Source organism: Homo sapiens, chromosome 13, assembly GCF_000001405.40.
Source record: "Homo sapiens chromosome 13, GRCh38.p14 Primary Assembly".
NCBI classification, from domain to species: Eukaryota; Metazoa; Chordata; class Mammalia; order Primates; family Hominidae; genus Homo; species Homo sapiens.
The window spans coordinates 97,630,301-97,642,926 of NC_000013.11; the positions used below are offsets into that span (position 1 = coordinate 97,630,301).

At 40.6% G+C, this 12,626-nt stretch overlaps 1 long non-coding RNA gene across 2 annotated transcripts in view, besides 1 other annotated feature; it reads right to left on the bottom strand.

Moving 5' to 3' along the window:
- Positions 1–12,626, bottom strand: part of LOC105370324 (uncharacterized) — a 179,291-nt gene that overhangs the window by 98,547 nt on the left and 68,118 nt on the right. The gene's annotated exons all lie outside the window — the stretch shown is intronic.
- Positions 11,870–12,391: an enhancer, noted in NCBI's record as "OCT4-NANOG hESC enhancer chr13:98294424-98294945 (GRCh37/hg19 assembly coordinates)". NCBI's record gives its function as "activates a minimal SCP1, AML or CMV promoter by ChIP-STARR-seq in naive H9 embryonic stem cells {active_cell/tissue: H9 hESC(naive)}" and the evidence as "EXISTENCE:reporter gene assay evidence [ECO:0000049][PMID:30033119]".

Genomic DNA, 12,626 nt, shown 5'->3' on the forward strand with positions numbered 1-12,626 from the left:
ACTCAACTAAAACTATCTTGAGCAAAACTGGGCCTGTAAAGCCTTATATAACTAGGCAGTCCAAGGGACTCAAATAATATGTTTCCATCTCCCTACACCTTTCTCTCTCAACACTTGGCCTAATGTCCTCCTAATCCTTGTGGTTTGTATAAGCGCAGGGCTTGGCCATAGAAAATTCTGGGCTTAGAGTTCCACATTTGCAAACCCATAGCAAAAGGGGTGCATCTTTCTGCTGGTGCATGCATAGAAAATCCCAGGGAAGGGCTCTGATTAGCCTGTCCTGGGTCACATGTTTATCCCCAATGAGAACTATGAGGAGCGAAGCAGGTAGGGTTCCTCACACTGTGGTCAGAGGAGTGAATACTGTGATCTGCATCCCCAGAGATACAACAAGAAGGAGAGAGGAAAAGATGGTCACCACATCAAAACAGTAGCTGAAGCCGAAAACGTAGAAGATTTCTCAACTAGCTAGCACTTCAGGATTCACAGAGTGCCCCACTTGCAAATACACTGATCATAACACTGTGGGGTTTCCCATGTCCAGGGTGCACCATTCACACTGTATGCTATGTCATGGCCTGCCAGGCCTGCCCTGCACATTGAATGCTGGGGGAAGTTACCCCTGAAGTTGTGCAATCTCAGGGCTATGTCTGGTCACTCCCAGAGGAATGAGAAGAAAAGTGGTGTCAGGAGCTGAAATTAGATCAGAGACCAGTGCATCCACAGAACTACAGAGATGAAAGAAACCAAAGGTCTAAGAGATGGGAAGTCGTCAGGCAGTGTGCTGGCCTCGGAGGCAGGGTAACAGCAACAAGAGTGTGAAAGGCAGCCTGGCTAGGACAGTCACTGTCTGCTCTCTGGCATCCCCTTTATTTCTGGATGGACATCAATGTCTCTGAATGAACAGGACGTAACTCCAGCTAGAGGAATTGTGCCTGCAGGGGGGCTTGTGTCCCAGCTGAGGCAGGAATAGAAGAGGGAGAACAGGTGTTCTTGCCCTTGTCAGGGTAGCTGTCCCAGTAGAGGTTATGATATGACTCCTGGCAGCCTTGAGCCTGGCAGGCAGAGCTGCATGGTGGTGAGTAGGCTGCGTCCCCTAGCGGAAGGCAGGCTGATATTCAGCTGGGACACAATACCATGGCCCTGCCAGTTATTGACTCCTGCCATGTCCATTCTGATTGATCAGTGCCTGTCCCAACCACTTACCAAATATTTTTCCTGTCTCCCTGATTCTGGGTGCCTTTGTCCACTACCTCTTCTTATTTGCTTCTACCAGAAGCTCTCTCTTCTTTTTCTAGGATTCCAATTGCACTTATGTTAGACCTTATTACCGCATCTCAAGTATCTCTTACACTCGTTTCTATCTTTCGATTCTTTTTCAGTGTTTCAGTCTGAGTATTTTCTTCCAATCTTTCCCTTAGTTCAGAGGTTATTACCTCTGAAAACAATGTCCAATTTTCTGTTAAACCTATTACCCTCTCTTTTTGTGGTAAAATATATATAACGTAAAATTGACATTTTAACCATTTTTAAATGTACAAATCCATTACTCTTTTAGTTATTGTATTTTTTAATTCTATAATTTTTATTCAGTTATTAAAAAATAATTTTCATTTCTCTTTCTCAATCTTGTCTTTTAAATCCCTAAAAATATTAAGCATAGTTATTCTAAAGTCCATGTATAATATCTTTACTTGTTAGATTCCTCATAAGTCTATTCAATTTTGTCACATTTCTCTGGGTTTATGGATCAATACTTGTCTCCAAATGCCAGATTATCTGTTTTATACTAGGAAATACATACTAAAAATGGTAAAATAATTTGAGGCTCTGGTTGATTTCATCTTCCTCCAAAACAGACTTACCTTTGCTTCTGGCAGGCAACCAAGAAGTCTGACAATAACAATGTTGGTAAAGATAATAAGTGTTAGTGAAGCAATAAGAATACATACATTTGCAAAACAATTGGCATTTCTAGAAATGTTGACTTTTGACCCCTCATACAAATCCATTTTATAAATGAGAATACCAAGGCCCAAAAGGGTTAAATAATTGGCCCAAGACAACATTGCTTTACAGGCCAGGACCCAGAGACAGACCTTTACCTATTTTTTTTAATTTGTATTTTTATTTTAAGTTTTCTGGTACGTGTGCAAATTAGTTACATAAGTAAACATGTGCCATGGTGGTTTGCTGTACCTATCAACTCAACACCTAGGTATTAAGCCCAGCATCCATTAGCTATTTATTCCTAATGTTCTCCCTCTCCCCAACCCACCCCCAACAGCCCCCAGTGTGTGTTGTTCCCCTCGCATGTGGTCCTATTATTCAGCTCCCACTTATAAGTAAGAACACGCAGTGTTTGATTTTCTGTTCCTGCAATAGTTTGCTGATAATGGCTTCCAGCTCCATCCATGTTCCTGCAAAGAACATGATCTCATTCTTTTTATGGCTGCATAATATTCCATGGTGTATATGTACCACATTTTGTTTATCCAGTGTGTCACTTAGGGGCATTTGGGTTAATTCCATGTCTTTGCTATTGTGAATAGTGCTGCAATGAACATATACATGCATGTAATGCATCTTTGTAACAGAATGATTTATATTCCTTTTGGTATATACCCAGGAATGGGATTGCTGGATTAAATGTTATTTCTCGTTCTAGATCTTTGTGGAATCACCACACCATCTTCCACAATGGTTAAACTAATTTACATTCCCACCAACAGTGTAAAAACGTTCCTTTTTCTCTGCAACCTCACCAGCATCTGTTGTTTCTTGACTTTTTAATAATCGCCATTCTGACTGGGTATGAGATTGTATCTCATTGTGGTTTTGATTTGCGCTTCTCTAATTATTATTGATGTTGAGCATTTTTCATATGTTTCTTGGCCACATGAATGTCTTCTTTTGAGAAGTGTCTGTTCATATGTTTTGCCCACTTTTTAATGGGGTTGTTTGATTTTTCTTGTAAATTTGTTTAAGTTTCTTGTAGATTCTGGATATTAGCCCTTTGTCAGATGGATAGATTGCAAAAATTTTCTCCCACTCTGTAGGTTTCCTGTTCATTCTGATGATAGTTTCTTTTGCTGCGCAGAAGCTCTTTAGTTTAATTCAATTCCATTTGTCAATTTTTGCTTTTGTTGCAAGTGCTTTTGGTGATGTTTTTCATGAAATTTTTGCCCGCGCCTATGTCCTGAATGGTACTGCCTAGATTTTCTTCTAGGGTTTTTACAGTTTTTGGCTTTACATTTAAGTCTTCAATCTGTATTGAGTTAATTTTTGTATACAGTGTAAAGAACTTCACCCATTTGATAGCAAGGCCTATGCTCTTTTCCTTACTACCTTGTCTCCAAAGTTTGACTGCAAACAATCCAGGTTAAATCACATCATGACTTTCTTTTCTCCTCATCTTTTAGAAAGTCCATATCCCACTAGACCAATTCCTTGGGGCCACTATTTATAGTAATGTACTACCTATCCATTATTTGCTACCCTATCCTCATTGTCTGGAACGGGGCCTGAAACATAATAAAAAATTATTGGTTGAGTCTATTGCCCAAGGATCCCTGTAATTCTCAAGAACCAGAGGCATCTACAACCATCTGTCTGAATTATCCAATCAGACCAGGCTCCTCACCATAAGGTTCACTGGCCAACTACTTTGTAGGATGAGGGGTCTTTTTTGCCCAGTACTCATGAGTCATAGATAAGGGTCTGGCTGAGAGTAGCAAAGTTCCTGACAAGTGGGGTGAAATTATTTTTCTCTTGATAGCCCTCTACAGCAACAGGAAGGTCCTGGCCTGGGGCTTTAGCAACCAGAAAGGATGGGCATAATACCATACAAATCTATCCAAACTTTCCTTTTCAATAGGGCCTCACTGATCAATGTCACCATCAACCTTCTCAAATCTAGTTATTTCCCTCCAGTTCATACTAACAAGGAAGTTCATTTTATTTATTTATTTTTCAAATCCTACTTCCAAGCAATAAATTTCAGAGTGATTTTTAAAGAGCACTATCTTTCACTCCACCTCTAGTACAAGCAAAATGCAGCCATTGGGCATTTATGGCAGCTCCCAAGCCCATCTCTCAGTTGGCTCTCTGTTGTCCAGGTGGCTTCCATCTTTCCCCCAGTGCTGTGAAGAGCTGCCCAAGCCTTAAGTCTCCCACAGTGGGTGTGGGAAGCTGGGATGGAGCTAGAACAGGAACCCATATGGGAAACAGGAAACTGACTCCCCCATTTTCTCCCTAGCTTCAGCAAGAACTTACCAGGGATGGGTACATTCCTCCAGCAGGGCTGGACTATCTGATACTTTCTGAAAGTCTGTTCTCCCAAGGCCTCTGCTACCCACCACCCACCCCCAACCACAAGAGGATGTATTAGTCCATTCTTGCATTGCTATAAGAAATGCCTGAGACTGGGTAATTTATAAAGAAAAGAGGTTTAATTGACTCACGATTATGCAAATTGTACAGAAAGCATGGTGCTGGCATCTGCTCAGCTTCTGGGGAGGCCTTAGGAAACTTACAATCATGGCAGAAGGTGAAGTGGGAGCAGGAGCAAGAGAGAGAGCAAGGGGGAAGGTACTACACACTTTTAAACAACTAGATCTTGCCAGAACTCACTGACTATCACAAGAACAGCAGCAACGGGATGGTGTTAACCATTCATGAGAAATCTGCTCCCATGATCCAATCACCTCCCGCCACACCCCACCTCCAACATTAGGGATTAAAATTCAATGTGAGATTTAGTGAGGACACAGATCCAAACCCTATCAGAGAATATTTCGGAAGAGCCAATCACTCACTGGCAAACTTCAGTTCTAAATAGGAATCAAAGATTTTTTCAGTAAAATAAATAATAAGAAAATGTTTTACTTTAATATAACTTGATAAATAGGTAAAAGACAGGAGCAGGAAGAGGGCCTTATAATTCCACTACCACCTACTAAAACGTAACAACCGTGACAGATATGACCGATTCCTTCTATTTCTTACTATGCATTGTACATACTCAAGATCATCCTGTGTATACGGTTTTATAATTACTTTTTTGGCATAATATTATTCATTAGTATTTTCCAGGCCATTAAAGAATGTTTATTAATACCTCTTTAATGCCTTTATAGTACTGTAGAGGTAGTGTAATTTTCTTAATGGTTCCTAATATTTGATAGTTTCAAATTTTTATCCCTATAGTAATCTTTATTAACTACTTGGCACTCTGTTCTCATGCCTCATAGCTCAATAATTTTTTAAAGACTTTGAAGTGCCAGTATCATCCTTTCAGCAGAGCTGAGGAATCTGATTACAGTTTTCTCATGGAGAAGGAGTCTCACACTTTTTTTTCGTTATAACACATTTTTCCTGCTTTACATATTTCCCCTCTTGCAATTTTTCAAGATCAGCCTTGAACTGATTTTAAATACGTTTCTCTGTGGCCAGGTATTCTTGTGCTATATTCTAATCATCTTTATGGACATTTTGGAATTATATCAGATTTTAAACAAGAGCTATTTAGGAGATTTATGAAGAGCTGGTACTCCTGCATGGACAACTTTACTTGGTAATTATAAGAAGAAACTTTAATTTTGGAAAATGTAGTTAGTGTTCCTTCCCACCCCCACAGCCAGATCTATCTTAGCATGTCACTTTGAAGCACAATGAAAATATTCTTAACTGCTGTAGAATGGACTTGAGCATGCTGGACACAGTAAATTGGGCATCTGTCAGGTGAAAGGTACAGGCCCAGAAACTGTCTTCCCTTGCACACTGAGATGTGGCTCTTATGTTGAATCCAGCACATAGAAATTTGCTGAGAGGTGCTTTCTAGGGGATGGGGATATCAGCTGCAGACATTTGCAACGTCTTCCTGTGGGCAGATGCACAGGGACCATCTTACACGGCTGTGCAACTGAAATGCATCTGACCTGCAATGTCGAATGATGAGAACCCAATACCCACTCTCATATATGAGCGCCAGGCTGGGAAGGCATCAAGCAGCTGGGGATTCCTAATCCTAACCCATCCAATAAAAGTCAAGTAAGGGTCTTACCATGTGCTAAGCTCTGTGCTAAGTGGGAGCTACAGAGATGACTGGGGCATGGTACCTGCCGTCACTGAGCTTACAGTCTTATGGCAAAGAAAAATATGCAAGCAAATAACTGCAAAGGGTGTACCTCATGATGTGAGTGGTAGGTTCTTAGTGCAGTAGGAGACAACAGAAGCAATGATCTCTACTCAGCAGAGGCAAGTAAACACTGAACAGAGAGGAGGCACTTGATTTGCCTCTCGAAAGATAAGCACAGACCTGACAGATTAAAATGGAAAATAAAGAAGTTCAGGAAGAGGGAATAATAGTAATAGAATTTGTTGAGCATTTTACTATGTGCCAGACTTCTCTGTAAGTCTTTTTTGCATATTATCTCATTTAATCCTCACAACACTACAACAAGGCAGATTCTATTCTCACCTTCACCTCTAAATGAGCCAAAACAGAGAGGAGATAAGCACCTTGCCCAAAGTCATACCTGTAGAATCTTAAACAGCAAGATGCATTCAGGTAACTGTCATTATTTCAATATTGGTGGAGCGTGGAGTCCAGTAGGCATGGAGCCAGACCTCAAAGAGCCTTGAATATTATGCTAAGAGGTTGGATTTTAATCCTGCAGGCTATAAAGAACTAAACATTTAAAGCTTCCAAAAGACAGATCTGATAGGAAACCAATTTGGAGTCAGGAAGCCAATTTAGAGTCAGGAAGCCGATTTGGAGACTATTAAAATAGTCCTAGCAGAAAGAGATGAGCTCTTCAGCTAAGGCTGAGAAAGAGAGGGCAGAAGTCAGAGCAGTTAAGGAGATGGGGAGCTGCCTTTCTGGTTCCTGTTCCTCAGGGTATGTGGTTTCCTCTGCAAGGTCCACATGCAGCCAATAAAATCTGCATGTGACCTATTTCCCAAGGAATTGGGACAGGAAACGGGGAGGTGTGGCATCTGCAATGTCCGCACTCCCTGACTCAGGTGTCTCCTAAGCGTGTGCAACCCGCAGCAAGGACTTTCCACTGCTGAGGATGACGGTCCCATTCTCTAGGAGCCCAAAGGATGAACCAGGCAGAAGATGCCACTCTCAGGCCTAGGATCCCCCATGCCTCTGTCACAGCCACCCAGACACACTCAAGTTGGTCCAAGACTGGGATGTGGCTTTGGAAACATCCTCCCACTTTTTCTCTTCTGTCCTTCAAGACCTGCCAAATAATAGGGACATAAAATGGCATAGGATGAGAAACAGACCTCGTCCTATTTCTGTTTCTTCTCGGTTTATTGTAACTACTGCATGGAACTGTAGCCTACATTCCGTGATTGTTCCTTCAAGAAAAACTAAAACTCAGCTGTGTTAGAGAATTCTAGGGTGTGTATCATTTGTCTTTCTTTTGCTGAGTATATACAAGAGAGCTTTATGATTAACTGATTATAAAAAGGAGAAAGTTTCATAATTGGGTTTTATAGAGCTGTGGATTTTGCATTAAGTGGTTTACTGAAAAAAGTTGGAAACATTGATTCGAGACATTAGACCACTCTGATTAAATTTATGGTACATGGGGGAAGATTGGAGCCAATTACAGGATTAAGAGTCCACACTGGTGATGTAATTCTACCTAAAATATGGCCTATCTGGTGATTACTTTAAAACTCTTGACCCTGGTTTTTCTACTATATACTCATTTCTTCAAAAATTGTCCCCACTGGGAGTAATTGGCACACTTAGCTTTCTAGAACAGAAGTGAGATTCAAGAACTCCTTTAACTATCCATTTTTGGACAAGTTCATGGAATACTGTATCATTTTAAATCTTATTATTTGTAACATTTAACTATGTGAACGTTTTTAATGTCTGGCAGTAGATAATTTTAAAAGGTGATTGGCATATTTATAGAATGGAATATTATACAAACATATAATTGCATTGTTTCAAGTCTGCTAGATTACTTATGAAATGCTCATAACATAATGTTAAATGGAAACAAAACAAGTTACATAACACCATATTCAGTGTGATCCCAAATATATGAGATTGTGTAAGTGTACGTGTGGATATTTGGGGGCCAAGCATTCTGGAATAAACTCTTACAAAATGTTTGTAGTGGTTATCTCTGGAGATGGTTTGATAGTACATTTCTGGGTTTTTTTAATTAATTTATAATTTCCCAAAATTTTGGAATTTTCTACGATGAATTAACATGTCTTTGTTCTTTTATAATTCAGAAAAAACATAATTTTGTAAATGACTTTTGTCCTTCAAAGTGGTTCTGTTGGAGACTGCACAATTATCACAAAGATGCTGTCCTTTGTTCATTTTTGTAAATTACTCCCAAATCCAATCCAAAGCAATGTTTTTACTTTATAACTACATTTCATTGTTTTTTCTTACTTTTAAAAATGTTCTTATGCTGTTCACTCATCCACTTTGTTCTATATCCTTGGCTTCAAATATTTAGTGGATTCCAAATATAAAATGTGCCTTCTTAAGACAAAAATTTACTATTCTGAGGATATTTGAAAGACTGTATAAGGGCTCTGTATTAGTCAGTTGAGCCACCATAACAAGATACCATAGACTAGGAGTGTGAAACACAAGAAATGTTACTGGAGAGAGTCTCGAATGGGATCCGGCATGGCTGGATCTGGTGAGGACTCCTTTCCTGGCTTGCAGAAGGCCACCTTCTCACCATGTCCTTACATGGCAGAGACACTGAGAGAGTAACAGAGAGATAGAGAGCACTCTGGTGTCTCTCCTTCTGAGAACACTAATCCTATCAGAATGGGGACCTACATTGGCCTCGATTGGATCTCCTAGAGAAAGCCCTGGAGATGACCTCATTTAACCTTAATTTCTTCCATAAAGACTGTATCTCTAAATACAGTCACATTGGAGGTTAGTGCTTCAACACATGAATTTGGGAGGAACACTATTCAGCCCACAGCATGTTCTGAAAGTATTTCCAAATGAAGAGTTTCCAAAAGTTTTTGAGCATTTGTTGCCATAAAGCATATTATTTGTCCATTTTCACACTGTGCAGACAACACCACTTATTTTGATGAACAAGTTTCCAGGGACTTTGTTTTGTGGAATGATTTATGATCAATTCTGCTGCAATGCTTACTTCTTAAACACAAATTAGCTCATATCTGATTGTGAAATGAAAGAATGATGTTTGTGTCCAGAAATTTTGTGACTGCTTCTGTCATTTTCCTGAGCACATTTTTTTTTCATGCAATCAAGTGCAAGCTTTCTCCAAAATAAGGAAAAGGCCTTAGAAATATATGAAGACGTAAAGACAAAAGCTTAAAATCCTACAGAAGTTACTTTAGTGCAAATCTGGCTGCTTTAGAGACTTCATAAACAACCACATTTATTTTAAACCTATTTGGGGAAGCTACAACTACAGATGAAAAGGCTGCAAATATATTTTCTCCATGTTAAGAAAGAAAAGGATGAAGAAAACTTTGCCCTGAATTAAATTTTAATGTTGATGAAAATTGTCACTATTAGAAATGAACCACACATAAGTTCCAGGGCTTTGGGCTGCAAAGGACCAATACTAGGTGCACAGGCCAGCATGCAGTTTTCACCAGGCTAGTGTTTTATTGGATTATTATTGCTTTTATCTATCTTTGGTTACAAAGTGCTATTGATTTTGAGGGATCCTCCTAATCCCATTTTCCTCATAAATCCTATTATTTTTAATCTGCAATTTTGCAGAAGACATGGTTTTTTGCAACATATATGGAGTTTTTGCAGAAGTGCCAATACGTCAAACATTTTATGCTAATAAAAAAACTGATTAATTACATCACTGTATAATCCTCCCTCCTGACTCCTTTCAAAACTCAACTCTTTTGAAAGATTTCCTAATCACCTGTCTGCATCCCCACCAGTTCAATTGCTAACACCCCCCACCGTGTCTTTTACTTCTATTTTATGGTGCCCTCCACAGTTTATTAGATTTCTTTCTCAGTGAATTCTGAGTTCCATGAAAGAAAAAAAAAAAACCTATTCTATCTTTTAATCCCAGCACTTGATTGTGCAGAGCTACTGACATTCATTGAGTGACATTAGCCAGATGGCAGGAGTCCAGCTCTGAGTGTAGGGACCCTGCAGGTTGTACTAACCACTGCATTCCTAGCATATAGCATATAGGACGCTCAATAGACACGTGTCCACTGAAATGGGTGCCATGAATGAATGAAGTGACAGCCTCTGTACTGTTTATACCATCTTCCCACAGACCTGCTTTCCATATGTTAACTTGGTGTTTTTCACCACACCTAAGAGCTGGCAAGATCAAGAAATATTTCCATCTTGGATATAAGAAAATTGCCCTGTATACAGTTAAAGGGGCTAGAGAAGCCCACAGTCAGAGCAGTCACAGACAGGGCCTGGACGAAGGTCTGCCAACTTTCAGGCCATGACTCTTTTTGTTCAGGCTGAGTTCTCACCTTATTTTTTTTTTTTTTTAACTTTTGCATCAAGTTCCTATACCCCAGATTCAGCTTCCTGCTAGACTATATAAATGATTTCTGGCACTGGCATACCTATACACACACACACGCCATCATCCTACTTTTTCTCATGCTATTTTTAGACGGGATATCATTCATATGTGATGTCTAAATTTTTCTAAATCTGCCTAGGGGTTTAAAGAAAATGTCTGCGACACACAGACTGCCTAGTTCCTAAGTATTAACTAGCAGTTCCTTCCAACCTCTTAATGAAACCCATCCTCTTTTGACAATCTCTCTCATAGACTCAAGATTTCGGGGTTCCAGGTTTTGGCAGTTGTTCATACTCACCACGCTGCTTCCATCTCAGAACTTTTGCACATACTGTTCCCTCTGCCTGGAAAGCATCCTCACTCAACTCTTAGATCTTCCTCAAGCCCCTCCTCTGGAAAGCTTTCTGTGACCTCTACAATCACACTGATTTCCCCTATGTTAGGTTCTCATAGCACAATATACCTCTACCTTGGGTCCCTTGTCATAGATGCAATTTTACAAGGATGTTTGTGAGTCATTGATGGATATCTGCAAGGTAGCAGACTCTATGCTGGTTTTTTCCCAAGTACAGAGCTTGGCACATTACTGCCAGGTCCATCCTGGCCTCATCTTCTTGTTCACTTCACTGTGGCATCCCAGCCACCACCTGAGTGCCCTTTCTGGTGCTAGCCTCAGTACCTGGATCCGTTTTGTCCAAACTGTTCTTAAATAATGTCTGAGCTGCATGCTTTTTTCTGTTGTAATCCTCTATTATGCCACAGGAGCCCTATTAATGTGATGATGAGATGTGGGGAAGGAGAAGTGCTCAATAGTCCTATAATTAGGGCCCGGTTTTCAGATGAGCTTGTGTTCTCGGGCTGTAACCTTCCCAAGCACTTCTCAGTTTTGCTTCTTTTGTTTCCTACTGCCTTTTCCCACCTCCCACCATGAAAACCAGAGGGTGCTGAAGGTGGGTATTTCCTTTCCCCATGTCAATCAGTCTTTTGTGAAACCCCCATAGTTGAAGCACTGGTAAAGTATAATAGTTTCTCTTGAGAGCAGATCTCTTTAAAACAACAGCAACAACAACAACAAAAACCACAGAATTTTCTGGATATAATTCAAAAAGGTTATTTTTTTTTTCTCACCTGCTGGAAAGACAAAGGGATTTTTTTTTCTTCTGATTTTCACTATGAGAACCTTGTAGGGCTTTTGGAGGTAAAACTCACGGAAGAGTAGGACCCCACCTCACCCTACACCTGGACCCCAAGGCGTTTTTAACTCTCAGGCTTGTTCACAAGGAGCCTTGAGAAATTCATCAGTTTGAGTTTAGCTTTTTCTACCCTGGTCCTGGTTCCTGAAGAGTTTTCTGCTCTGGGGCTTCTGATCTGGTAAGCTGTGATTCTCTCCATCTGCCTTTGTCTCTTCAATCTTAGGGACAGCATTTTGCCCTGTGACCTCACTTCTCTGATGGATAGTGTCAGGCCTCTGAGCCCAAGCTAAGCCATCCCCTGTGACCTGCACGTACACATCCAGATGGCCGGTTCCTGCCTTAACTGATGACATTCCACCACAAAAGAAGTGAAAATGGCCTGTTCCTGCCTTAACTGATGACATTGTCTTGTGAAATTCCTTCTCCTGGCTCATCCTGGCTCAAAAGCTCCCCCACTGAGAAACTTGTGACCCCCACTCCTGCCTGCCAGAGAACAACCCCCCTTTTTCCTTTACCTACCCAAATTCTATAAAACAGCCCCACCCCATCTCCCTTAGCTGACTCTCTTTTCAGACTCAGCCCACCTGCACTCAAGTGAAATAAACAGCTTTATTGCTCACACAAAGCCTGTTTGGTGGTCTCTTCACACGGACGCACATGACATTTGGTGCTATGACTCAGATGGGGGGACCTCCCTTGGGAAATCAATCCCCTGTCCTCTTGTTCTTTGCTCCATGAGAAAGATCCACCTACGACCTCAGGTCCTCAGACCGACCAGCCCAAGAAACATCTCACCAATTTCAAATCCGATCAGCAGCCTCTTTTTACTCTCTTCTCCAACCTCCCTCACTATCCCTCAACCTCTTTCTCCTTT